Source organism: Homo sapiens, chromosome 14, assembly GCF_000001405.40.
Source record: "Homo sapiens chromosome 14, GRCh38.p14 Primary Assembly".
NCBI classification, from domain to species: Eukaryota; Metazoa; Chordata; class Mammalia; order Primates; family Hominidae; genus Homo; species Homo sapiens.
In genome coordinates, this window is record NC_000014.9 from 95,180,844 (window position 1) to 95,208,137 (window position 27,294).

General features: G+C 45.3%; 1 protein-coding gene across 5 annotated transcripts in view, besides 2 other annotated features; it reads right to left on the minus strand.

Moving 5' to 3' along the window:
• Window positions 1–1,096: 1,096 nt before the first annotated feature.
• CLMN (calmin) overlaps window positions 1,097–27,294 on the minus strand; it is a 137,969-nt gene continuing 111,771 nt past the window's right edge. For 2 of the 5 annotated variants that reach the window (XM_011537158.2, XM_017021646.2), the window contains exons 9-14: window positions 21,995–23,620; window positions 15,655–15,851; window positions 13,693–13,753; window positions 13,006–13,076; window positions 12,476–12,572; window positions 1,097–10,885 (exon numbers count right to left, since the gene is read on the minus strand). In XM_011537158.2, coding sequence (XP_011535460.1) covers window positions 10,721–10,885; window positions 12,476–12,572; window positions 13,006–13,076; window positions 13,693–13,753; window positions 15,655–15,851; window positions 21,995–23,620 — 2,217 coding nt within the window. In that variant the 3' untranslated portion in view covers window positions 1,097–10,720. The other 3 variants (NM_024734.4, XM_011537159.3, XM_047431774.1) reach the window with 3 other exon arrangements.
• Window positions 15,473–15,639: a silencer, noted in NCBI's record as "fragment chr14:95662653-95662819 (GRCh37/hg19 assembly coordinates)". NCBI's record gives its function as "represses an EF-1alpha promoter that drives an FKBP-Casp9 reporter gene in an ReSE screen in K562 erythroleukemia cells {active_cell/tissue: K562}" and the evidence as "EXISTENCE:reporter gene assay evidence [ECO:0000049][PMID:32094911]".
• Window positions 18,015–18,943: an enhancer, noted in NCBI's record as "NANOG-H3K27ac-H3K4me1 hESC enhancer chr14:95665195-95666123 (GRCh37/hg19 assembly coordinates)". NCBI's record gives its function as "activates a minimal SCP1, AML or CMV promoter by ChIP-STARR-seq in naive H9 embryonic stem cells {active_cell/tissue: H9 hESC(naive)}" and the evidence as "EXISTENCE:reporter gene assay evidence [ECO:0000049][PMID:30033119]".

The following is a 27,294-nucleotide window of genomic DNA, read 5'->3' on the forward strand; positions in this document are numbered from 1 at the left end:
TTGTCATCTCTCCCGGACTGTTGAAATAGACTTCTGGCTGGCCTCTGCATTCTGCCCTCGTTCCCTGGAGTTTATTCTCATTATGGCAGCTGGGTTTAGCCTGCTAAAATGTAAGCTGACGTGTGCTCAAAATTCTCCAGTGGATCCCAGTTCACTCTGGGTAAAGGCCAAAGCCCTTAACACATCCTACAAGGCCCTACCTGGCCTCTCTCCTCTCACTCACCATGCATTCACCAAACCAGGCTCTTTGCTGTTCCGTAAAAACCCCAGCCATGATCCTGCCTCAGTGCCTTTGCACTGGCTGCTCCCTTTGCTTAGAAAACTCTTTCCCCAGGCATTCAAAGGATCTGTCCCTGCGGCTCTTTTAGGTCTTTAGTCAAATGTCTCTTGCTCAAAGAGGTCTTTCCTGGCTGCTGTATGAACCTGGTGGCACCTCGCTGTCCACCCCCAATCTACCTTCCTTCCCTGCGTTTTCTTATAGCACTGACGACATACTGTGCATCTTACCATTATTTTGTTTCTGTCTGCCTCTTCTCACTAGACGGTCAGCTCTGGGAGGATAAAAACCTTGTTTTGGTTTCCTATTATATTCGCAGCAACCAGAACAGTGCTGATGCCAAGTAGGTGTGTAATAAATATTTGTTGCACCACCTTTTATTTGCTCTCCCTCTGTCCCCATCTTACTCCTGCTGCCCTTGGTTGCATCCCCTCTGCCCTCAAATGATGCAATCATCACGTCAGCTTTGGCTCAGGCTCTGTCTTCTGAGGACCCCTGGCAACTACAGTAACTTCCTGGAGGTCACACAGCTAGTAAAAGACAGATCTAGGATTCAGACCTAGGCAGTCCCACTCCAGAGCTGCATAGCTACTACTACTATTATTACTACTACTTGGAGCATTACAAAGGCTCTAGGCAAGTTAATGCAGTTTAAAAAAGGGCATATTCTCTACAATCTCTACCACTCTAAAGCCAATTGGCTTCGCTTCGGCCCTGGCAAAAGTATTATTTGTTGGGACTATTTGTTGGAAAGATAGTGTAATTTCTGGTTGTCAAAACCACAAACACACATGAAAATAAGTATCATCAACGAAATCGTCAGTTCAAGAAATTTATATTCAAAAATTTTCTTAAGAATACACATGATTTTACAAGATCATTCATCATAGCACCAAGCCTAATATTCCTTAATAGAAAACAGTCAAATAACAAATACTCCAGTTAATTCCCACAGGTATAAATTATTCAAATAGCCATTTATATCTTAATTTACAGTAATCAATAAATAAGACGGCACATTCATATATTGTTTATAAAGATCTTTTTTTTTACAAAGCTACAGCTATGTATATCCTAAATAGACAAAAATAATCCTTGTACTACAAAATAACATTTCATTTTCCTCAATAGTTTTCTTAGAGCTCTCAGTAAAAACTTTCAGACATAGTCAATTAAGCCCTGCACAATAAGGAAACATTCAATCTGCTCAATAGACCAGACTCCCCCAAAATAAAACAATGATCACCACCCACTACAATATGGTCTGAACAATCTCCTGTCTCCAAGTTTAGTTAAGTCTGTCCTGAGGATGTACAGTAGGGAACGACCATTTTTCCGTGTTCACAATTTGTCTTTGGCGGATAGTATCAGCACCACTGTGAGTGACATAGGCAGCATCTTATGGTGCAATTTCAAGGGCAGAGGGCAGGTGTCCCCTGCACCACATTCCCTCCCCACAGCTACCGCCCCTACCCCAGGGACATTCTACACAAACACACCAGCATTTGGCTTAAGGGATCCTTGTTGGAATGCAAACGGCTCCGATTCTGAGTAGAATTTCAGAAGCCTTTTTGAGTCGTTACTCGGGGAAGGGGAAAAGATGAGGGATGGGAAGATCTAGTCCTGTACAGCTATTTATTCCTGCAGTTGAACTTTTGAATTTAAAAGAAATTCCCTTAGGAAACTGCCTCAGATGCTGACGTAATTTAAGGAGACCAATTTCCTTCTAACAGCCCTAGGAAGCAGATTTCCCAGGTTCTACTTCAAACATTCATCTGAAACCTTTAAGATTCAGACTACCTTCTGTCTGACCAAACTCTTCCCAAAGGCACCTTTCTCAGATACTAAAGCCAAGAAGCACTGCCCTAAGCTTTGGGCTGATATACAGAGGTACACTTGCTTTAAGCAAATAGGCCACTTATTGAGATAAATAAAAACTACCTTCGTAACCTTTGGATTTTTAAACTTAGAAAGGACTTTTAAAAGAAGTCTTCCCACTTCCAACCCAGAGAGGTAAATTCAAGGCATCTGCAGGTGAGCCACAGCTAGGACGTGGGTTCTCCATACCCATACCAGTGTTGGCCTGCTTTGGACAATGTCAACTCTCCAGACAACAGGCACTCCCAGAGTTTCCTTTAAAAAAGTGTCTAAATCCTTGCATGACATTTAGCAATACTGGCATTCTGGCACAGCATGGGCTTGTAGAGAATACACACCTATTGATTTTTGCTGGGGCTAAAGGAAGTGGTAGCTATTGCAAACAGAATACAAGTATCAAATGATATTTTGCTATTTTGTTTTTTGTAACAATGCAAAAATCACTACTTTTAAGCTTAAAATACAGGAAAAATAATAATCCCTGCCTCAGAGACCAACCAGTTATGAATTCATCCAAGTAATTCGTGGTCTCTACTTCTCCATTTTAATTACACTGCCCTCAGGCCTTCTCTACTTTTCTTTTTGAAGGAGAAAGCCCAATTTCCTACTCTGTGAAGTACGTGTTAGAGGTGCAGAGATGAGCAGCTGGGGGCAGGATGTATAGTTAATTGGAGGCCCTGAAGAACTGTCTTTGATGTTGGACACTGAGATTTTACTGCAAAAGACCCTTTCAAGGCGGCCATTTTGGTTGCAAATTTGCAACTGCAGTGAAGTTTAGAGTGTTTGAAAATAACAGTCCTATGTTCCCAGTTCTGCTACTTACTAGTTCACGCTATGACCTTATTTTTCTGTCCTGTGCTTTAGCTTCCTTTCCGAAATAAACACCTCCCACGATTGTTCTAAGGGTCAAGTGAGTTAATGAGTAAACAATGGCTTAAACTTCCTCTTGCAAAAAGGCCTGAGTTAGATTTGAGACAGGGTAGCTCAGAAAAAAGTAATGGATTGGAGAGAGGTTGGAAGAAGCTATGGTACACTAAGGGTTAGGGAAAGAGGTATAGTCAACGCTTGCTTCAAGAGGAAGGAAATAGAGAAAAGGGGGCTGCTGGGCATCCTACAACTTCATAAACTTTCAAGAAAAGTATTTTTCATCCAACAAATATGTGCTGAATGCCTATAATGCACAGAAGCTCAGAAGTTAGTTTGCCAAGATCACCCAGAGATCTGGTGACAGAGCTGGGACTCCAATCTAAATCTGGCTGACTCCCAAACCTGACTTCTTTCTCTAGCCCACAATACCTCCCAGAGAAGAAGGCAGTGATTAAAATGAAAACAAAAAAAAGGGTTCCTTTAAAGAGAACACTGCTAGATGAAGCTATTCTTGACATCTGAGTGTCAGGGATTTAAACAAATTAGCAGTGCGATTGAGGCCGTGGATTGTTGAGGCATGTGTATATTTAAAAACAACTTGGTCAAACAGTACAAAATACTGGTTGTCTTTTTCCCATAGACAAGAATGTTTTTTGGCATGTTGCTCCAGCCCTGGCTGGGAGGAACTGCTTGCTTGATGTGTTCTCATCAAGGTTCTCAGAACAAGTTCTAAACACAAAGAAGCCAGTATTCCCAGCATTGTGGGGTCTGGCAACTGCAGAACACTCAGCTCAGAAACTCTGATAACTTTTGTGGGCTCTTGGGGAACCAGCAGCTCTGAGTCTCCAGGCTTTTGACCCACACCTGACCAAGCTCACCCCATGCCCTGTCTCACACACAATGGTAGAGAAGTGACAAGACCTGAAGGTCCTGTAGGACTCTTAAGAAAAATCAGAGTGAAGGCCAGGCACAGTGGTTCATGCCTATAATCCCAGCATTTTGGTAGGCCAAGGCAGGAGGATCACTTGAGGCCAGGAGTTCGAGACCAGCCTGAGCAACAGTGAGACCTGTATCTATAAAAGATAAAAAAATTAGGTGGGCGTGGTGGCATGCACCTGTACTACCAGCTACTTGGGAGGCTGAGGCAGGAGGATTGCCTGAGCCCAGGAGTTTCAGGCTGCAGTGAGCTGTGATCACACCACTGTACTCCAGCCTCGGTGACAGAGTAAGATGCTGTCTCTTAAAAAAAAAATCAGAGTGAAGAGGGCAGGTGCTCACGTGGAGCCCAAAGATACAGGTGTCTGCACACGATGGAAATGGAACCTGTGCAAAGTCCATGCAAAGTCTGTGCACCGGGCTCACTTCCATGAGCTGCTGACTGCTGTTTTCCAAGGAAATGCCTGATGAGAGCAAGGCGCAAGATCTGTGGAGCTCAAGGGGATGCTTGTGTCTCATGTTTGGTTCTCCCACGCTGGCTGTTAGGGGAAAAGAGCCATAGCAATTTTCAGCACAGAAGCACAATAATGCCCACTCCAGCTCCCAGCCTTCCACCACCCAACCCAGGTCCTGGACCTTGTCATTAGGGCAGCCCCCTCATCAGTTGGATGGGACAGAACAACCTGCTATGTGGTGATGGTTCCAGATGGCAGCTGCTGGCCCAAGACGTTAAATCTTCCCCAAATGCTGTGTCAGCAGTGATTATGCAATGTCGGGGAAGGAGAAATAACACAGCTGGGCCTCACAGGGCTTTGTGCAGTCTCATTTCCTGGCTGAGAAGGTCCCGAGATACCAGGCTGACTGGAAGCTCCCACACAGCCCATTTCTGGGACCTGAGGGCGCAAGGCTCCACAGAGGAATACCGGCGGGGAATGCAGTGGAGACCCCCAGGAAGGTGTCTCCAAGCAGAAGGGAGAGAGAGGCCGTGTCTCAAAACTCCAGAGGCTTCTGAAGTCCTTCTGGAGAGTTAAGAAAATCGGAGCTCATGTGAAAGCATTCTTGTCATACAACTGCCTTCCAATGGCATGACCACGGAAGGAGAACAGCTCCTCACCAAAGCAGCCATGATGGATTCTGACATTTTCGTAAGACACATCTGTACTTGCTAATTCTGACTTTTGTTGGAGAGATGAGCTCCATGGTGTTCTGAGTCCCTAGCGATGGTGGGTAGGGAGGTTAGCTTCAGCAGCTGAGGCTGTGGTTTTGTAGTAAACTTAACTGGGAATGAAGATGGCTATCTGGAGGTCATCAACTAGCAGGGCGACTAGTCGTTTCCTCTTTCTAATCTTCAGTTTTTCATCTCTTAAATGAGGCACTGAACGCTTACATAATTCCTGAGGTTTTCGAACAGTCTGTGACTTACAGAGATCAACAACACAGGCTGCCCCCAGTGCCTCTGCCTTCCCTCTGTTCCATCCTGATAAAGAGCAGGCATGCACTGCATGGGAAGAGGGTGGGGGGAACTATGCTGAACCTCAGAAATGGAGACGCCCATGTTCTGGGTGGCTGCCCGAGGGGCAGCAAGAGTGTCCTGCTTCTGAGCCTTGGTGGGAGAACATCTCCCCACAAAGGTCAGGTCTGACCAGGAAGCCCCGACCACCTGATCATCAACTATGGCAAGATACAAACTTCGACGAGGCAATGTTGGCCACGTTCAACAGAGAATCCGCGCTGTTTGTTTGCTGGCAAACACCTGTGTGGACTACTTGTTTCTTTATTTTTGAGACAGCGTCTCGCTCTGTCACTCAGGTGGAGTAAAATAGCAGGATCATAGCTCACAGTAACCTCAAAGTCATGGGCTCAAACAATTCTCCTGCCTCATCCTCCTGAGTAGCTGGGACTATAAGTGTATGCCACCACTAATTTAAATTTAACTTTTTGTAGAGATGGAGTCTTGCTATGTTGTGCAGGCTGGTCTTGAATTCCTGGCCTCAAGCGATCCTCCTGCCTTGGCCTCCCAAAGGGCTGGGATTATAGGTGTGAGCCACTACTGTGCCTAGCCAGTTTTCTGTTTCTTAAGTGAAGCAAGGGTGGTAAAGAAAACCTAGAACCCAGACCACCACATAGACTATATCTTTGGGGAGGCAGGAGATCTAAGATCATTTACTGACAATAGGCAGCAAAACCAGGGGGAAGGAAGGAAGGTAATAACTAATCATGGCATTCAAGCAGAGCTTAGCCATGCTATGTATCCCTCTCCTGCACTTGGCACAGCATTACACAAAATCACTTAGCAGACCACAGCTCAACAGGATGGATGTTGCTGCAGTCCCAGCTGGACTCAGGGCACGTTCACAAACCAGTCAGAGCAGCAAGCCCCCTAAGCAACCTGTGAGATAACTCAAATGGGGTTTATGGATCAAGATGGTATACTGAACACATGAGCCTGTTTCTTCCCTCATGAAACCCCATGAAAATAGGAGCAGAGGAATGAAAGTTATATTAATACAACCATGAACACAGAATACAGAAGAGAACAGTAAGCAAGAGCTAGCAACCTATTTATGCAGGAATGGAACTGATGGAAAAGTGAGCAGGGAGGGGGATCCTAAAACCACATGCCTGCAGAGGGGAGGCCACAGAGTGGTCAGCAGAGATGCCCTGTGGCCTCCAGGAGAGGCTTGGGGATTGGAATAGGAGGGATGGGGTGAGACATGGGGCTGAAGACCAGGGCATTTATTGGCTCTGAGGTCCCCTGTCCTTCCCATGCAGCCAGATGACCACTGTGCTCCTACTCCATGGAGAAATCAGAGCAGCTCCAACTCAGGGACACCAGGCACAGCAAAGGTTGAAGCAACTTAATGAAAGTCTAAATACTCACGGGTGATGAGGCTGCCTGCTCAGCGGTCAGGACTCGGGCACACTGAGTATAGACCAGGGTCTCTGGATATGGTCCTACAGTTGTGCATTGCACAGAGGCACTTGGCTAAAGAGGGCAATTAGGAGTTAAAATCTAGCCTTTTCATTGTTCCTCGAGCATTGTCCAAGCTCAGAGCTGGGTATGTCTGGAGGAAGGGGCAAAAGGTGTCCTTTGCCAGTCAAGCCAAGTGCTCATGGGGACTTCTGCCCAGATGGGACACCATTTTTGAAACCACATGAGTACTCAGCATAGGCTAAAAGCCCTGTGTATGCCCGTTTCCCAGGAAGGAGAGTAGTGGGAATATCTCTCAAGAAACAGAATGAGCCCCAGAGAAAACACGTGCAAATACTGACAGGCAGTGTTCTCCAATGATGAGTCCAGGTGCCCACCTGGTGACCCTAGTGGAAAAGCTCACCAGTTGGCACACACAACTTCCAATCAGCTTTTGGATGCCTCACTCTTAAAACATGAACAGATCCATAGGATCACCATATATTTGAGAAAAATTCACAACGTGAAAGATAGAGACTGAGACCACCAAAATAAAGAGAACTCAGAGAAAATGAGGGCAACACAGGGAGCAGAAAAGACTTCCCCTCAGACCACAATCATTAACGTCCACAGAGAGACAAAATCTGCATCCACGCATCAAGAGCAGGACACTGTAAAACAAAGACAGGATAATAACCAAAGGTTTTATTAACTTGGAAAATAAAAATTCAATAAAACATTCAGATTGGGAAGATAAAAATGAATAATTCTTCCTGAAAGCAGATCAGAAACATAGACGAAAAATAGAAAAGATAAAAAATATTAGAGCATCAGCCTGGGTGTAGGGGAGGGTCCAACATTGAAATAATAGGTGGTCCAGAAAGAAAGAATGTAAATAATCACAAGAAAATTTAAGAAATTTCCCATGAAGGCCCAGCACAAGGTTTAACACCCGGGATACAACACCATCATGACAGTTCAGAACACCAAGAATAAAGAGATCTTAAATGTTTCCAGGAAGGGTGGATAAAAAAACCTAAGTCACATATAAAGGTACGGGAATCAGAATGGCATCAGAAATCTCAACCAGCACGCTTGGGAGGGGCTAGGGGAGGGTATTATTTTCCACCTGTCATTCTATGCTCAGCCACATTTCTGTTAAGGGCAGAATACAGACATCTTAAGTCATGCAAAAATCTCAAAATATTTACAACCATATTTACTTCCCATGTTCTCTTCCTCAGGAAGTTATTAAAGAATGTGCCACACCAAAAAAAAAAAAAAAGTAAAGAGAGAGAATAGCAAATTAATGGGGACATTTGGAGGAGAAAGGACATGTAACCATAACACACTGCTGGGCTTGGGAGTCAACAATCCTTAAGTGCTCCAGGTAATGTCAACACCTAATAGAAATGTACTAAATGATGTGATCTAGCTATACTGGAAAACCAAAGCACGGTATGGTAAGAGTGAAATCCTCCTCTACTGTGACAGCAAGCCAGTAGATGTTTCTAAATTAAAAAATAAAGTGTAAGCACGTTATGTAGAAATGCAAACATAAGAGAGTTGAAAGTGGTTACTTCTAAGCAGCGAGACTTAGGGGACTGCTAGTTCTTGTTAAAAGCCTTATTGTATTTCTTTTAATTTAAAAAAAATTTACAAGCAATGGGGTGGTTTGTCCTGCAGACTTCCACATCCATTTTCTATATCCAGCTTCTTCCATAGAAGCCTATACTCAAATGAGATTTTTTTTTCCTTTGCAAAATATCAGTTGACTGCCAACCTGAACCAAATGACTTTCAGGCATCTTGCCAGTAGATGTTTTAAACAATATTACAAGTTGTAATAGGTGAGAGAAGTATCTTGCAGAGGTTTTTCTGAACAAGGTCTAGACCCATAAAATGAAATGATTCACATTTGGGTTGGCTCTTCCCAGGCTCTTCGAGCATCTAATTTAGGCAAGGACTGCATGGTGCCCAGAGTTATAAACTATCACATAATCTTTATTATCTGTACCTTTGAGCTTTCATTGATGCCAGGGAGCTCATTAATTAGCTCATTTTCCATGGGGCTCTTGGCCTTCCAGATGGAATCACTCCAAGCTCCCAGCAGCTTTCTGGTTGGAAGGCTGAAATTCTTTCAGGAGGGGAGACAGACTATAATCAGACTGGTTTAGAGGCCAGATTTTGGCTGTCATCGACTCAGATGTGCTATGTAAATTCTTCTGGCCATGCTGGAATTCTGTAAACTTGAAACCCACTGCTTGAAATGAGCAAGTCCTTGGCTAGCAAAGAAAGAAACGTGATTCCTGGAGTAAGAGCGACGCTGGTATGTCAAATGACAAGCTGTTGCAGCTGTCAAGGGTATTTCAGAAGGAATTGGGGATGAGCTTGAAGGTGAGTAAGAATTCCTCATGGGAAAAATACAAGAACAAAACAAATGTCGATAGTTGGTCTAAACTTTTTGGTTTTGCTTGAATGTGGACATTTTAATCTAGTCATTTTATCTTTTTCTCAGGACATTGGTGTGCCCAGTGGAAGTTTCCTACAAGGGGTGACAGCTCTGGACAGGGCATCAGGTGCCTGTGTGCTCACTGCAAGTCTGCCCCTGGTCGGCTATATGATCTTGGTCAAGCTGCTCTGTCTCTCTGGGTCCAGCTAGACAAGATGCTCACTGAGTCCCCTCCTGACTCATTTGTGATTTTATAAGGGTTGCCTGGTACATGCTTTCTGAAGGGGAGAGCAAGGGGAGGAGGAACCAATGCAGAGACTCACCACGGACCTGAGTCTTGGCAGGGAGGAGAGAGCAGAGGGAGCCTGGGGCTGAGGAAGACTGGGGGCAGGGGTGCTAGAGATGCCTCTCTTCTTTCACAAACCTCCTGTGCTGGCCTGCTCCCGGAGTGCTGTCCAGAAAGCCTCTTCAAGAAACCCATTACAAGTGACCACAAAGAATGCCCGTTCCAAGACATGCATTCTGAGGGAGGTGTGCACCAAAGCTTTAGTGGGCAGGAAGCTACCCCACCACCCAGCTCCAGCACTGCTGGGAGCTGATTCCAGCCCAGCCACTCCTCATGGCTTTTATATGGCCCTGCTGGGCCCTGGCGATCTGGTTTGAAAATCATGGTTCTATCTCAATCCAATCAATGGAAAACTGAATTTCAAGTGTTATCTCCCCTCAAACAAAAAACAAAACAAAAAAACAACAAAAAAAACAGGGTGAAAAAGAGCACACAGTGGCTCTCAACACAGCTTTCACCTTCCTCCCTGGATTCTGCCATTCCTGGATGTGCTTACACAGAGCTGGCTGCTCGGATTTCCCCTAGTGAATGCAACCAGTTACCGGACTGCGACAGGTGCATGGACCCCAGCACCTTCTCTCAAACACCCACGCTTGGAGGAAAACGTGGCAGCTCTCTCCCCAGCTGGGGCTTGGCCTGGGGTGCCCACCCTCTTTCTCATTAAGCAGCCCTTCATCTGAGAGGTAAGAAACTCAAGTTCATCCAGCGTGTGAACCTGCAATGTGGGGTGTGCTAAGATCCAGGCGGGCTAATGATCACTAACAATGCTCCCTATCCAACCCAGCAAGGCACACAAGGACAAAACCCCACCTACGGATCCAGCTGCATGCCTGAGTTTTGAGTACACAGCCAAAGAAAAAAGCATGCTCAGGTTGTCCAGAAAAAAAAGGAAACCTGAAAAAAAAAAAAAAACCACAATAGCGAGAAAGGGGGTCTAAGTTTCCTCGGAGGTCCTCAACTGTCTGTAGAAGTGCCCCACCCAGAACCCAAAATAAAATGAAGTAACCCCGCCCCTGGTCAGGGTCCTGTCTTTTTTATTATCCAGACACACGTATCAGAGCCTGCTAACATCCAGTTGTGGGAAGAGCAGCAAGCAGTACACCAGGAGCCACAGGAAGAGAATAAAATACATCATATCCGGCTGCTGGACAAGCTGTGTCAGGGAGTCACTCTGCGGGCTGTGGCTCCCCAGTGACATGGCTTCTCCTGAGCTGTTGGCCTTCCTACAGAAGAAACACAGAGGAAACGCAGTTACCAAGCAGGTTCCCAGGAAAGTGGACCCCACCCAGTGCTACCCGTCTCTCCCCGGCCCCCACTCCCCGCCTGAAGACCCGAAGGCTCCCCAGCACCATGTCCAGGTAGGCCCCACACTGTGTGTACTGGCCCAAGGCAGTGCGTCGGGCCATCCAGGCAGCCCCTCGAGCTTTTGCACGTACTCCGTTCATCTCCATAACATCAGGTGAGAGGAGGTGGCAGCCCCATTCTGCAGATGGACACACTGAGGCTTTCGGGGTGGAGTGACTTGCCCAAGGCCATGCAATTAACTTGGCGACAGAGAGGGCGCCTAGGCCAGGTCTCCTGGGACACCTTTCTTGATGCCACAGTGCTCTCAGAGAGTGACACGGAGTTAGATACTGATCGCTTGCTGCTGTTTGTTAGTAACGCAGGGGACCCCATAGGTCATCTAAGGGATGAAGTGTCCCTAATAGCAGATCATTTTAAATCATCTATCAGAAAGAAACAAAGACCTCTCCCATTCCCCACAGTTTTGTTTTGGCTTTGGAATATTACCTTTAAAATAATTACTAGATTTGATTTCAGTCAGATTTACCTTCCTGCTTTTATTTTATAGGTGGTAGTGTTAAAATGTCATTTCAGTTTTGCCTGGCGGATCATAGGGAAGCCCAGAAGGTTTTGCCTGGGGCTGGGGCCTCTGCTTGGAGCTGCATGTAGAGAAGCCTGCAGTGTAAGCCTCTTAGGGTGGTTTCGTGCGGTGTAATGGAGATTACGAGAGGCTAAAACCACTTGTCCCAGAACTATCTCCTGATAGCAGGAGCGAGGGGCAGGGTGGGATTAAACATCTGCCACAGTCTACATACTGAATGATAAATACCCACATGATGGTCTTCTTTAAAAAGCTGTCCACAGAAACAAGTTAAACTATATACTTTTTATAGAGACACGGTCTCTCTGTGTTGCCCAGGCTAGTCTCAAACTCCTGGCCTCAAGCAGTCCTCCCTCCTTGGCCTCCCAAAGTGCTGGGATTACAGGCGTGAGCCACCATGCGCAGCCTAAACCATATTTTTTATTATAAAGGTAATAAATGCTCAATGTAGACAACTGAAAACACGACTGCATTTCTCAACTTTACAGGTTCTATTTTCAACGCCTCTATCTCATAAGAGCAAAAAGGATTATTTTCCTATGAGCATATCCAGCCTGGTGGAAAACTTGAATTAGTATTTCCATTTCATGGCAGGGGAAAGGAGCTGTCTTGCTTCTTTTTTAGCAGCCAGAGGGATGGGGTTCTAATGACCACACTCTTGGGTGTTGGGTAATATTCAGACAGAGGCTTCCGATTCCAGTAATCTAAATCCTTCCAAGCCAATTCAAATCTGTGGCGAGTAAATAAAATTTTTTAAAAATAAAAACATAATAAAGCAACTCTATGACTTCAACAGGAATGGGGACGTCTCAGAATTGTAAGAATTTGAGACGTTTTTCTGGTTTCCTATGTTTTAAATGGGCAGGTTTCCAGCAATTCAGCAACATTAGGCCAGGCCAACAGTTCTCCGACAGCAAGAAATACTTTCATAGACATCCTGGCATGTTTGCTTTCCCTCTTCATGTCTGCTCTGATGCCATAAAACTGTAAAATCAGCTCAGTAAGCTTCTGAGTACTGTACCTGCAGTGGCAACAGAGAATGGACAGGCGTCAGGGGCTACAGCATTCACAGGGGCCACACAGCCTCACAAGACCACCACCTCTTCTCCTGCCTGGCCGTCCCTTTGCTAACTACCCTATACCACTAAACCACCCTATACTCTATACCACTCATTTAAACACAGCTGCAGGCTCAGAACCCAGACCCGTCTTTAAACTGACTCATTTTCGGAACCGGGCCCTAACCATCAGTGTTAATTAATATCTACTTTTCCTTTCTACTCATATTCAATTTACATCATTTTCTCTGGAATAGTTATTTTCTTGCATTATCCCAAATTATTAATACTGTTATCAACAAAGCAGTGGGAGAATAACCACCCCTGTAAGGCAGGCTGCAGAATGTAAAAACATTTTATTACTACCCCCACAAAACCTGAAGTAAAGCCACCAACCTGGTTAATATTCGGTTTCTTCTGTCATCCAGATCTGCTGCGTTCCTCAACTGAACATAGCTAAAATGATCCTACAGTGAAATTTATAAACAAAAGCCCCCGCAACCCAATTAGTAAAGATGAAATCTCTGAAACAGAAGATAAAACGATTTTAAACACACAAAGCCGAGCATGCCGGGCATTTCTCAATACCGCCAGCGTCTAGATCCAAAATCAAAGTGCTAAACAATATACATTCCTCTACCTCCTCCCCTAAGCCCCTCCCTTGTGAGTGCGAGAGACCCCACCACCCGGAACCCGGATTGGGGTGTGCTGCTCCGGGTTCTAACACATCTGCTACTGAGCACGTGCCACTGTCCATCGGACCTTGACTCATGTTGCACCTCTGTCTCTGAACGTGATCCTTCTGGGTGCGCGCGGGGTCCAGGTGAGGCGTTTTGGGTGCGTTTTTATAGCAAGGAGGCCTTTGGGCTTTAAAATCCTCACTTTATTTACATCTCTTATTGCCCAAACCGGATATCCGATCGGACTGTGCTTAATGATAAGGTTCCAATCTGCTTGTCTTCTATCCAAAAGTATAGCTGTTGCATGCCAGTAATTTCAAAGCTCTGGGCTGGGGAGGAGGAAGGATGGAAAGGAATTGATTAGCAGGGGCCGTGCGGAAAGAGAAGAAATTCACATACTAACCGATTCCGAAGACCTATGAGTATGTCGTCGAAGGTAAATGCTGGAGTCACTGTGACTAGTCCTGAAAAACAAACACATGTTTTGAATTGGTACCACCTGGAGCTCTTCATGGCTCAGTTGTACGGTCACCCCCATCCTGGGGTTTCCACGTATGGGTTTAGGCAAGCGACAACTTCACAGCCAGGGACAGAAATGACAGATTTTATATCTAACATGCCTACTTTGGTTGGACAGTGCTTACAAATAGGATGGATATTAGTGATACACACATTGGGCCCTCATCTACAAGAAAAATCAAAGTCAGGATTTTAAATAGAAAGCAAGGCACATATTCTTAAAAATCAAAGCATTTGGAGCAGGAAGTAACCCAAGCATCCTGATGTGCTGGGACTCACCAGAGGTTCTCTGCAATTAGTCAGACCTGGGCCTAGACCAGGCTGCCCTGACTCTCTCTACCTGCGTCTGAGGTCCAAAATGTACAAGTGGGAATGCTTGCCTCGCACTTTTCACATTCCACCCAGTCCTAGCGGAATGGAGGGTAACGTCCTATTTCCTTGAAGGATGGAGCCCCGCCTGAATCACCCCTGTGGCTGACCTCTTTCTCCCTCTCCTGAAGTCCCCAGGCCTAGCAGACTCCATTGCATAGTGGCTGCTCAAGGACTCTTTGAGAATTAATCTGCTTAGGGAGAAGCTGAGCAGTTGGGCAAATCCCCTGCACTGTTTGTCCAAAGTGCTCACCTGCACTGACAGCAGAGCCCAGCGACATGAGAAGATCATAGATGACTGCTAGACAGTCACACCCAGGGGCAGGGACAGGCACGCTGGGAGTCAAAGGCCAAGTGGGCAGCAGCCTTCTGTTGTGCCTTGGCCCTCCTCCCCCTGCCTCTGTTTCCCCAAAGTCCAGGCACAGAAGCAAGGCAGAGGGAGGTGGAAAGCCAGGCACCTGCCAGCAACTCCTCTGGCTCTGTCTGTATGGGCTTCTCCCTACCCCTCCCCAAATGCATACCTCAATAGTTTTCTGTTGCAGCTTGTATTACATCATCACAGGCAACAAGGGGGCACAAAAAGAATGTGGAATGTGGAGTGGGACACATCTGAGTCCAAGACTCCCTAAGCTGGGGAAGTTACCTGGCCCCCTGACCTTCTTTGTCTGCCATATGAGGCACAGTCCCACCAATGTGTCTATAGGTGACGTGAGAATGAATGAGAAAATGAATGTGAAGTTCCTGGGCACAGTAAGGGCTTGATCAACACTGACTGACTATTGTGACGATGAGAGAGGGGAGAGACCAGGGTCTTCTGATTTTCAGCAGTTACACATTTTCCCTGGGACAAATCTGGCTCATCTGGTGGCCTTGGAGTGACAGAGCAGAGGTGTGCTATGAGATTCCTGTAGATCAGTTAAATCTCATTATCCTCCCTGCTCCCTCCTTCTCCCAAGCTAAATCAAGCATCCCTACTTCCTTGGAATGGGAATTGTGGAAGAAGCCATAATATTAATGAGATGTCCAGCTTCCACGTGCCAGACATTAATGGTCTCCTTGGTGGAAAGGTGGATATGCTTGAAGTCATTAAGATGCTTATAAAGTGAAGTCTGGTCAACCTGTAGTTGTCTGGGGGCCAGAAGGCAGCCAGCAGAGGCTCCAAGTCTACCGCGTTCACCCCCACGCCTACCTATGGTTCAGCCATCTGCTGCTCACTGCCAGCTTCCACCCAAAGGTTTGAAGACTGAGGAGAGAAGGCAAGCTTCCCATCCTTCCCTTTTTGCTCCTTATGAGGTCTGGTAATGATGAGGGTGGGTCGGGGAACCCAGGTGTAGAGAATGAGGATTGTGTATGAAGCTGTATTTCCCTTGCTGTCCAATCCCATGCCTGCACCTCCCACCCCATCAAATCAGAAACTGCAAATAACTCTCTAACTCTCTGGCTCCACCTTACGGGTGAAAAGAGATGAATAAAATACCTGGAAGGAATGCTGTAGTCGCTACTGTCTTCTTCTAGGTCATCTGAGGATTGAACACTTCCTGGTGCTACAAATAGTGAACTTTCTACGTGGTCCACATGTTTCCTTTTTTCCTTTTTTTTACTACTGATTGATTCTTTCGTTACATTTTCTTCTAGGGGGTTTGCTATGTTTTCCAGGTTTGGGGATTCCTGGGACTGAAAGACAGAACAACCAAATCCAAGTCAGTATGTCACGCTGCAGTGTAAAGTAGGTGACATCACCCAGCAGTGCTCTGCCCAGGCCCAGCCAGGGCGTCCCTTCCAATTCTGCCTGTTCCCTGATCCTCTTCATGAATCCCCTGCAGCACAGCCTGCATGAGAGACAAGTCCACCCCAACTCCGGCCCCTGGTACAGACTTCAAATGCTACAAATTGATGGAGTTAAAACAATATAGGTTCTAGAGTTGGCAAGATCTGATTTCAAATCCTGGCTGAGTCAGCTCTGTGACCTTGAGTGACTGATGTTATCTTTTTGAGCCTCAGTTTATTTGTTGGTGAAATGGGTACAATAATTATTAACCACATCCCACTATTCCACAGGATTTCCTATAAATAATGTCTCTAATTAGCTGTGTGTGGTAGTGCCTGTGGTCCCAACTACTCGGGAGGTGGAGGTGGGAGGATTGCTTGGGCCTGGGAGGCAGAGGTTGCAGTGAGCCAAGATCATGCCACTGCACTCCAACCTGGATGACACAGTGAGACCCTGTGAAGAAGAAGGAAGAAGAAGAAAAGAGGAGGAGGAAGAAGGAGAAGGAGGAGGAAGAAGAAGAAAGAAGAAAGGACAAGAAGAAGAAAGAAGAAAAGTAAAGAAGAAAAAAGAAGGAGAGAAGGAAGGAAGGAAGATAGAGAGAGAAAGAAAAAAGAAAAAAAGAAAGAAAGAAAGAAAGAGGAGGAAGAGAAGGGCTCTTACAGTGAGCAGTGGTTGAATCCTTCACAACCATCATCCAATTAAACAAAAGAATAAATCCTGGAAGCTAGGTGGGCCAAAGGGTGCAAAGGTGGCCTATAGGTTTGGAGAGGCACACGCACAGGCAGGTGTAGAGTTTTCAGGATGCCATCTTCACTGTGCCTTTGGCCAAAGGTGGATGGTAGTGCAACATGTCTAGCATGCATTGGTAATGAAGATTCTTTGACCTCTGTCTGCACCAGGCACTCTGAAACCCGTCAGCAAGGCTCCCGAGTGAAATGCAGGAGCACGGTCATTGTTGGAGCCACGTCTCAAGAATTCTTTTAGGGGCTGGAAGAACCTGTTCAACAGGTGTCAGAATAAGAGCATTAGAGCGGCCAGGCCATTGTGCCCCGGGAGAACAAAGCTCCATGCAGGAATGAAAAGCTGCGCTCAGCAATCTGAAATGATAGTCTCACAGGCTGCCCTCATCAATGGTCAAATGCTACTGTTTTTGAAAGATGAAACAAGCAGAGGGCTTATTTATTTTTTCAAGATCAGAAGAAAAACTTGCCATTTTCTAGTCCCTTTGGCTGGGAAAATATCTTTTTTTCTTTCTTTTTTTTTTTTTTTTTTTTTTTTGAGATGGAGTCTTGCTTTTGTCTCCTAGGCTGGAGTGCAGTGGCTTGATCTTGGCTCACTGCAACCTCTACCTCCCAGGTTTAAGTGATTTTTCTGCCTCAGCCTCCGGAGTAGCTGGGATTACAGGCACCTGCCACCACGCCTGGCTAATTTTTGTATTTTTAGTAGAGACAGGGTTTCTCCATGTTGGCCAGGCTGGTCTCGAACTCTTGACCTCAGGTGGTCCACCCACTTCAGCCTCCCAAAGGGCAGGGATTACAGGCGTGAGCCACTGCTCCTGGCCTCTTTTTTTTTTTTAAAGGAAGGCAAGGTATCAGAGAAATGCCTCATCCCATCTCCTTGTCTGCCAGGACCCAAGACTCCCAGACCTCACCTTGGGCTCCTCATCAAACGGGCTGTACCCTCCCCCTACGCTCACCCACACGGATTGAGGCAAGGGCTGCACTTGGGAGCAAATTGCAAGGTGGGCTGGGGATCAGTGGGCAGTGCTTGCTGGGCAGGTGAGGCAGCGGACCGGAGCCAAGTGAGGCAGACGGTGTTGATTTCATTCCCACACTGCACCCAAGGGAGCTCATCTGCCCACGCTCTCACCAAGAGTGAGATCCATGTAAGATGGAGTTCAAATCTAGATCTCCCGATTCTACCACTGCAACCCAGGGCTCTTTCAGCCACACCGCAAATCACCTGTCCAAGTGCTGGACACATGCACTCTCTGCTTTTGGCAATTGCTGGAAGGAAAGCATTCGAGAACAAACTGCCACATTTGTATTTTCACAGGCCACATCCAATAGGCCAGGAGGGAGGATGCAAACCACTAATTCATCATTTTATTTTATTTATTATTTATTTATTTATTTATTTTGAGACTTCAGAGAAGTCAGCACACAGCAGGCCATGGAAGCAAGTGGAGGACTGGGTTCCTCTCCCTGGGGGAAGAGGGGGAAGATGGCAGCCGTGGTCCCTGGCACCTGCAGAGCCATCCAGCCCTCTTCCCATCCATTCCACGGTTGGCAAACACGGAGTGTGCAGCCCTGCCCATGTGGCCCTCGGCCTGAGGATGCTGCTCCTCCTAGGGCTTAGGTAGCCACTCCTCATTGCTCAGATTTGGCAAACTGAATAAAACCAGCCCCCCACTTCTGGCCTAGCTAAAATCTGCAGTGTCTTTTAGGACGAACCTGATCCCTTATATTAATTTCCCTTATTCTCTTTATTGGCTCAACTAATCTTCTAGGTCTTCTACCCCACTCATTCACACCAACTACTCAACTGTCAATAAACTTAAACTTAAAAAAGACTACTCGAACCAGACTTTTTCTGTAGCTCCCGCAGGGTGCAAGCCTCTCTCAATCCTCCAATCAGCTCCAGTCCTTTGGGCCCCTCACTGGGCTCTGATGAGCCAGGGCTTTGTCATGTATCTCAGTGTTTCATTTACCTTCCATTTGCTGTATGCCCCCGAAACCATCGTGTAATAAACCTTTGTCCCCTACACTGGCAGGCCCTGTCAGGCACCGTGCTGGTCTCTAGCATCCAAAGATCAATACACAAATGTCCACACTCTCTCGGGAGAGAAAAACAAAGCCCATGGAAATCAGGTAAGCACTCAAGGAGAGATTGTCAAAAATGTGATCAGCTATAGGGAGGGAGCAATGGCTCTGCCTGGGGAGGAGGTCGGAGGGCTTCTGGGAGGAGGTGCCATTTGCATTGACTTTGAAGGTTGAATAACTGCTTGCCCAGATGGTGGGACCAGCCCAGTCACACCTGGAGGCAGAGGAGAGCCTGGATGTCTGGGGGTGTGGGAGGATGCTGGCTTGGCTAGAGGGGAGGGAGACAAAGAGGGGTGGGTGGCCAGGTTAGAGCGGGAAGAGTCTTGGAGTTCATGCTAAGACATTTAGACTTTGTCCTGGATGCAGCAGTCAGGAAGTGATAAGGTGAGACTTGTGCTTTAGGGTCATCCCTCTGCAAGCTGAGCTGGGGAGGAGGGACAGTGACAGACTGGGGAAGGGTCTGAGATAGAGGCAGAGCCAATGCAATCTGAAATAGCTGGTCACTTTCCCACCTGGCTCCTGCACTTAGGGGACCTCTACCCTTAGTCCCTCTACCCAGAACTTCCTCCCCAGTTCTAGGCTCCCCAAAACCCCCATGCAGCCTTTCTGGATCTGGGTGGGAGCCTCCTTCTGTTGAACTCCTGAATCCCTTCGCTGGGCCCATCTCTAATGGCTGAGGCCACATTCTCTCACAGTACAGTTACTGGGGACTCTGTCTCCCGCATTAGACACCGAAGGCAGGATTTTCCTTCTTTTTTTATCTTCCTGGCAGTGCCAGATGCATCGCTTTCCATGGGGTTGGATGAGTAAGCAGGTGAGCTCATGGAGGGGCTGGAGAGGCCGAGCCCAGGCCCTTCTCCTCCCTGGCTGTCTTGCCCTGGATGCCCTGTGTGCACTATATCCAGCAGGGCATGGCCAATGTGGTTTCGGACTCACCTCCTGGATCCCCAGTGCCGTAGCAGGACGCAGCACTTATTAACGTGGCATCTGCAGGAGGAGCCTCCCCATCAGGCCAGCCGCCCAGGCACCCCCCTTCACTGATCACTCCAGTGGCCCTTTGTGAGCTACTGGGCCAGATGAAGTGGGAACACAAGTGGCAGATAAGAATGTGACCAGCTGCTCAAGCTCAGAAGAGCGCATGTCCCCTTATGCTATTTACACACCAATTTCAAACCACAGAAACCAAAGATTAGTGCCCAACAGGCAAAAGTCCTTTAAAAAAATCAAAACTGGAGTCAAACATGAGGGCTTCTTCTGTTTCTCCTAAGTTACTGCAGAACAGGCTAGTGTTCACTAAGTGCATGCTAGATGTTAGCTACGATGACTGTTTTTTTCTTTAACTTTCTAATGCCTATGTTAGTGGTAAGTTATGAGAGAACATCACATACCGGGGCCTGTGGGGGTCGGGGGCTAGGGGAGGGATAGCATTAGGAAAAATACCTAATGTAGATGATGGGTTGATGGGTGCAGCAAACCACCATGGCACATGTATACCTATGTAACAAACCTGCACGTTCTGCACATGTACCCCAGAACTTAAAGTATAATAAAAAAATTTAAAAATATATATATATATATTTTTTGTTTTTCAACTTTTATTTTAGATTTGGGGGGTTCATGTGCAAGTTTGTTATGTAGGTATATTGCATGATGCTGAAGCTTGGGGTAATTATCTTCCAACCCCCCAAGCAGCCGTGTCAGCTTGGAGACCCTTGGGAGTCACAGCGAAGAAGGCCTGGATTTCCAGCCCTCCCCACCCCTCTCAAAGGCCTTCCATCATTCCCCACGACCCCTTCTATTTCCCACACTATGAGGTTCCCCTGGCTGCAATACCCAACGGTTAGTACACTATTCTCAGTACCTGGGTGATGGGGTCATGAAGGCTGACTCCAGCCTTGAGTTTTAAAGGACTTTTTATTAGTTTGTTTGTTTCTTCCTTTATTGGCTTTTTTTTCCTTTTTTTTTTTTTTTATTTTACTTTAAGTTCTGGGATACACGTACAGAGTGTGCAGGTTTGTTACATAGAAATACAAGTGTCATGGTAGTTTGCTGCACCTATCAACCCATCATCTAGGTTTTAAGGCCCGCATGCATTAGATATTTGTCCTAATGATCTCCCTCCCCTCGCCTCCCACCCCCCAACAATGTGTGTTGTTCCCCTCCCTGTGTCCATGTGTTCTCATTGTTCAACTCCCATTTATAAGTGAGGACAAGCGGTGTTTGGTTTTCTGTTCCTCTTTTAGTTTGCTGAGAATGATGGCTTCCAGCTTCATCCATGTCCCTGCAAAGGGCATGAACTCATTCTTTTTTATGGCTGCATAGTATTCCATGGTATATATGTACCACATTTTCTTTATCCAGTCTATCACTGGGGGGCATTTGGGTTGGTTCCATGTCTTTGCTATTGTAAATAGTGTTGCAATAAACATATGTGTGCATGTATGTCTTTATAGCAGAATGATTTATATTCCTTTGGGCATATACCTCGTAATGGGATTGGTGGGTCAAATGGTATTTCTGGTTCTGAAATCAGATGGAGGAATCACCACACTGTCTTCCACAATGGTTGGACTAATTTACAATCCCACCAATGGTGTAAAAGCATTCCTACTTCTCCACAGCCTCGCCAGCATCTATTGTTTCCTGACATAATCGCCATTCTTACTGGTGTGAGATGGAATCTCATTGTGGTTTTGATTTGCATTTCTCTAATGATCAGTGATGGTGAGCTTTTTTGATTTTTAAAGGACTTATTCCTGTTGGGCACTAATATTTGGTTTCTGTGTTAGAAATGTGTGTGTAACAGGATAAGGGAGATGTGCTTTCCTGATCCCACTGCCCAGGTACTGAGAATAGTATGCAACGGTTAGTTTTTCAACCCTTGCCCTGTGACAATGACTGCTTTTGAAATCATTTCTGCCCCTCCTCTGCTGGACCCTCAAAGGTGACCTCACTTGATCCTCAGAGCATACCTGTGAGTAGGGCCAGGACTGGGGGAAAGCCAGTGAGGTGCCCGTGTGCAGGATTTCAGGAGGTGCTCACTCTCAGGTGCCAACCCTGCATTTGCCCGAGCCTCACAGTAGGTGCCTCTTTGAATTTTGCACCATAGTAGTCCCAAGGGAAGCCCCCTCATCGCTATTTTATGGAGCAAGAAGCTGAGCTTCAGACAAAGAACTATCAAGTTTCCCAGGCAGGACCCAGGGTTCCCAAATCCCACGGTTGAGTACCTGATGGCTGTCCATGGGGTCATTCTCTTTGGTCTCCCTTTGCTGGTGGTCCTCATGGGGGGCCAGTGGAGCGGGTTCTGAGGCTGGTGTGGTACCCACACCACCCCTGCTGAGATACAGCACCTGGTCGCTGGCACTGGGGAGGCTCTCTCCTGGCACCGAGGAACTGGAGCTGCTCTGAGAGCCATCGGCCTCCTCCTCCCTGGAGTCCAGGTCTGGCATATAGCCCTCTGGCTCTTCGAGATCCATTTCTTCATTTTTTAGATCCTCCGGGTCTTCTACATAAGCCTCCAAAACTGCAGCCAGGGGAACCTCATAGTGTGGGAAATAGAAGAGGTCGTGGGGAATGACGGAAACCTTTGAGAGGGGTGGGGAGGGCTTGAAATCCAGGCCTTCTTCGCTGTGACTCCCAAGGGTCTCCAAGCTGACACAGCTGCTTGGGGGGCTGGAAGATAATTCCTCGCCCACACCCTGGAGGTCATCGTCTTCTCCCTCTTCCTCATAATGAGGACGGGTGGACTTTCTCTTGGCCTTTTCATGCACCTCTGGCTTTTTATCCACTGGTGTCTCTTCTGGGGCTGAAGGACAGCCTTCAGCTTCTTCTCCGGAGTCCTGATGAGGTTCATGTTTGTCCATCTTAACTTGAGGCTCTGGCGAATCCTTCTTTTTGTGAGCAGATTTAATACTCCTTTTACCTAGTTTTTCAGCATGATTCTCAAAAGCCTCAGCATCCTCGTCAGGTTTTGTCTCATGAGGTGAAGGAACTTTGTTGAAAGCCTGGCTGGTAGAAGCAAAATCTATTAGGTCGCTGTTAAATTTTGAGGCTTTTAATGGGATGGCTTCAAAATAGTCTCCCTCCTCTAAAGCTTCTACAGTCATCAGGTTAACCTTGATCTGGAAGGAATCGGCCATCACAGTATTTTCTCCTGGGGGTGAAAGAGAGTGACTTTCTTCATCGTGGCGGGCTGTACTCTCTAAAGCACCATTACAGGAAGAAGACTGAGAATTATTGTTTGTGCCCTCCACCAAAAAAATGTCACCAGCGACCTTGTCAGAGGAGGATTCTGGAATCTTCGAGGATTCCTGTTTCTGTTCCTTTTCCTCAGCAACCTCAACTGCCAAGACATGTCCATCCTGCCTCAATGATTCCTTTGCCACTCTTGGGCTCCCTTCAAAGCAAAGGGACAGGTTCTTACTGCAGAAAGGATCCTTGTAGGTGTCAGCCTCAAAGTGAACTGTTTTCTTGATCGGCAAAGAGTTGGACCTCCCGTTCTCCTTTCTGGATGATAAAATGGAGGATTCTGGAGATGGCTCACTGATGTCGCTGGTCTTACCTGGGCCCCCTTGCAGGACCTGGTCAATAATCTGGTGCATGAACTCGGTGGAGCTGTCTGACAGCGCATGGCTGGAAACACCATCCAGGCGGAATTCCTTCATGCTCTCGGGCTTGTCACAGACAAAGACTTTGGAGGGTGGTGGGTGGCTGGTTTCATGGTTAACAGTGTAGGTACGCTCCCCATTTTCAGTCAGAACGAAGACTTTGCTCTCCTGTTCAGAAGGAGTTTCTTTGATGCGAACAAAAGTGGATTCGATAGGAACTTCTTTATCTGAATCGAAAATATCTTCCTGCAAAAAAAAACAAAAACAAACAAACAAAAAAAAACAAAAGAACAACAACAAAAAAAAGCACAGAGCAACATGAGTAAGAAGAATATTTAAGTACAACCCATATCCACCTTTCCCAAAACACAAACAAACAAAAATGGAAAAAGCCACTTCAAACCAATGCAAAGTGTTCTAAGATGTAAATGGTTAGAGAAGACTCTTGTTCCTGCTGAAATATGAAAACATCAGATAAATAAAAATATAAAATACCATGTTTTTTAAAAAGCTATGGATTAACGAATCTCAATGAAACCAAGCTCTAAAGAAGGACAATCCCTTCTAAAGTGAGCAGAGATTGTCAGCCCCTTCATGCTTGAGGACCATGTTGCCTAGTCTGGGTATGGACTTGGAGAAGAGCTAATCCACCTGAGATAAGGAAAGATCAGCCAAATCTTTATTGATTGTGTGGGCTGGTATGAGAGAGTGAATCTGGAAGCCCTCCAAACACAAAAGCAATTTTCTTCATATACTAATTAGCCCACACAGGGAATTTTGCTGTGTAAGAGCCAGCTGGGGGCAGGGCTGAAAAGCAGAAAATGACTCTGTGGTACTGCAGTGCTTGACTCCCAATGCACCGATAGTGTGAATTGACTTCAGCCTCAAATCATTTAAAACCAGAGAGAAGAAATTAAATAAAACTGCAACATAGCTCCTATTGACGCTGATATGATCAAAACGACAGCTCCTCATCTTACACACTTGTTTGGGAAAGGGCTGTATTTCCTGAGGGAAAAAAATGACATCTGCTTCAACCTCTATTGTTCTTTTATATACCAAGTTTGACATAAAATAATTACAAGACATGAAGAGGCAGGAAAACGAAATCCACAATCAAGAGAAGAAATAATCACTAGATATAGACCCATATAGGACCCGGAGTTAGAATTCACAAGCAAAGGCTCTAGAATAACTAATCTGTGCTACAAGCAATACAAAAGAAATAGTTCTTCAGGCTCAAAGAACACAATCTCAGATATAAAGCCTAAAGGAGGGAATGAACAGTACTGGAAATGGTAAATATATGGTCAATAGAAAAGACTACTTCAAAGTTTTCTTAAAAAGCCTACTAGCTATTTAAAGCAAAAATAACAAGGTATTGAGGATTAAAACATATGCAGAAGTAAAGTAAATGACAATATAGTAGCAAAAGTAATGGAGATGAAGTAAAATTATATATGTGATATATATAAAATATATACAAATATGTAAAATATGCATTGTACTTGAAGTAGTATATTAATTTAAGGTAAGCTGATGTATGTTAAAGATGAGTATTATAATCACTAGAACAGCTACTAAAAAGATAAAACAAGGTGATGTGGTTAAAAAACCAATAAAGGGGATAAATGCACACAAAAGAAATCCTTGAATAATCCCCAAAAAGTTAAGAAGGAAGGACAATGGAGCATAGAACATATCAGACCAATGGAAAACAATAACCAAGATGGTAGATGAAACCCGTATAAACGTATGAAAAATGTACTGATTAAATGACAGAGTTTGTCAGAATAAATACAAGACCCAACTGTATACTGTTTACAAGAGACATACTTTAAATATAAGTGTACATACACTGAAAGGAAAAAAATGGAAAAAGTTATGACACAAGCACTAATCATAAGAAAGCTGCTATGGCTATGTTCATATCAGACAAAGCACACTTCAAGATGGGGGAAATTTTATAAAAATAAAGCAATCAAGTCATCAGGAAAATATAATAAATTGTGTCTGTGCACTTAACAGCATAGCATCAACATATATTAAACAAAAACTGGCAGAACTAAGAGGAGAAATAAATTCACAATCACAGTTGGAGATTTTTTTTTCAACATTTCTCTCCTGCATTAATGGATCAGGAAAGCAGGAAAAATCAGTATAAATATAGAATACTAGAATAGCATATTAACATATTAACAGCATATTAAAGAATACCAGTATTCTTTAACTGTATAAGACCCGTTCTTTTCAAATGCATATGGCACATTTACCAAAAGAAACCATGTGCTGGGCCACAAAGCTAGCAACAATGTGTGGTACATGGTCAGGGCCCAACAAATGTTTACTGAAATGAAATAACTCAGCAGAATTGTTAAGAACAGTTCACTGCGTGTCTGGATAAGCTGTAAATTCTCATCTGTATTCCCTTGTAGATGTAAATAGACTGTTCTGCAGTGATGCAGCATGTTCTGTGAACCAGAATGACTTTCTCCAGGTATTATTTCTGGCTCAATCTTTTCCCATCTGCAGTTTCTGACCTCAGCATTGGGGAGATCTGTGTCAGATTTGCTCAATTTTAGCTGTGGCTTTGACTCACACAAATACCGTATGTTTTAGTTGATTTCAAACTCTGCCTACAGATTAAGAGCTCAGGGCTAATGAAAGCCCCAATGCCTAGTATTTCAAAATACAGTAACAGGCCAGGAAAATTGAATTGCAAAATAATAATCACTACTTTTTTTTTTTTGCTTAAAACAACAAAAATTTGTTATGTTACACTTCTGGACATCAGAAATCCAAAACAGGCCTCAATGGACTAAAATCAAGATATTGGCAGGGCTGGATCCCTTTCTTTTGATTCTGTTTAAATTTTTAATTGACAAATAATAATTGTATATATTTATGGAGTATAATGTGATATCTTAAAACGTGTATACATTGTAAAATGATCAAATCTGAGAAATCAATATATTCGTCACCTCAAATATTTATCATTTCTTTGTAATGAAAACAGTTAAAATCTTCTCTTTTAGACATTTTGAAATACACAGTATATTATTCTTTCTTTCTTTTTTGTAGAAAAGAAAATGGGGTCTCGCTTTGTTGCCCAGGCTGGTCTTTAACTCCTGGGCTCAAGCAATCCTCCTGCTTCAGCCTCCCAAAGTGTTGGGATTATAAATGTGAGCCACTGGTTACATTATTATTAACTATAGCCATCTTGCTCTGCAATACAATACCAGAACTGATTCCTCCTATGTAACTGTAACTTTATACCCATTGACCAAGTCACCATTATTCACTAAACATCCACTGTTGTTCCAGGCACAGTACTAGGTACTTCACATAACTGTTTATCCTTCACATAGCCCTGAAATGTGGGTCAGATTTCCATTTTACAGGTGACACACATTCAATAGATACACATTCAATATAGATGTGTATCAGAGAGGTCAAGTCACCAGCCTGAGGTCACACAGCTCCAAGTGGAGAACTGGCATTCCAGCCCAGGAATTCCTGCTTCCACAGCGCCCTGTAAGGGGTCCGTATGTGGTGCAGGGACAGGCAGGAAACACACACACAGGTGGGGGCCAGGATGAAAGTCACGGCATGGAGGATCCTGGGAAGTTCTTCTGTACAAAACAGAGCCCCAGTTTCAGCTGCATGTTGTAAGGGAAACAAGAGCCTGAACTTTGGAAACACAGAGGGTCCAAACCCCAGCTCTGTGCTTCATAGCTGAGTGACTATGGAGAGGTCTTTAAGCCTCTTTGAGATCCTTATTTTCGTTTATAAAAGAGGATTATGATACTGAGCCATGCTGGATTGCAGGAATGGCAGGCAGCCCAGAGACACAGGGGCAAGGCAGCCAGCTAGAAAAGCAGCTCCCCTCTCCTGCAAGCATCCTTTAACTCTTTATGCTT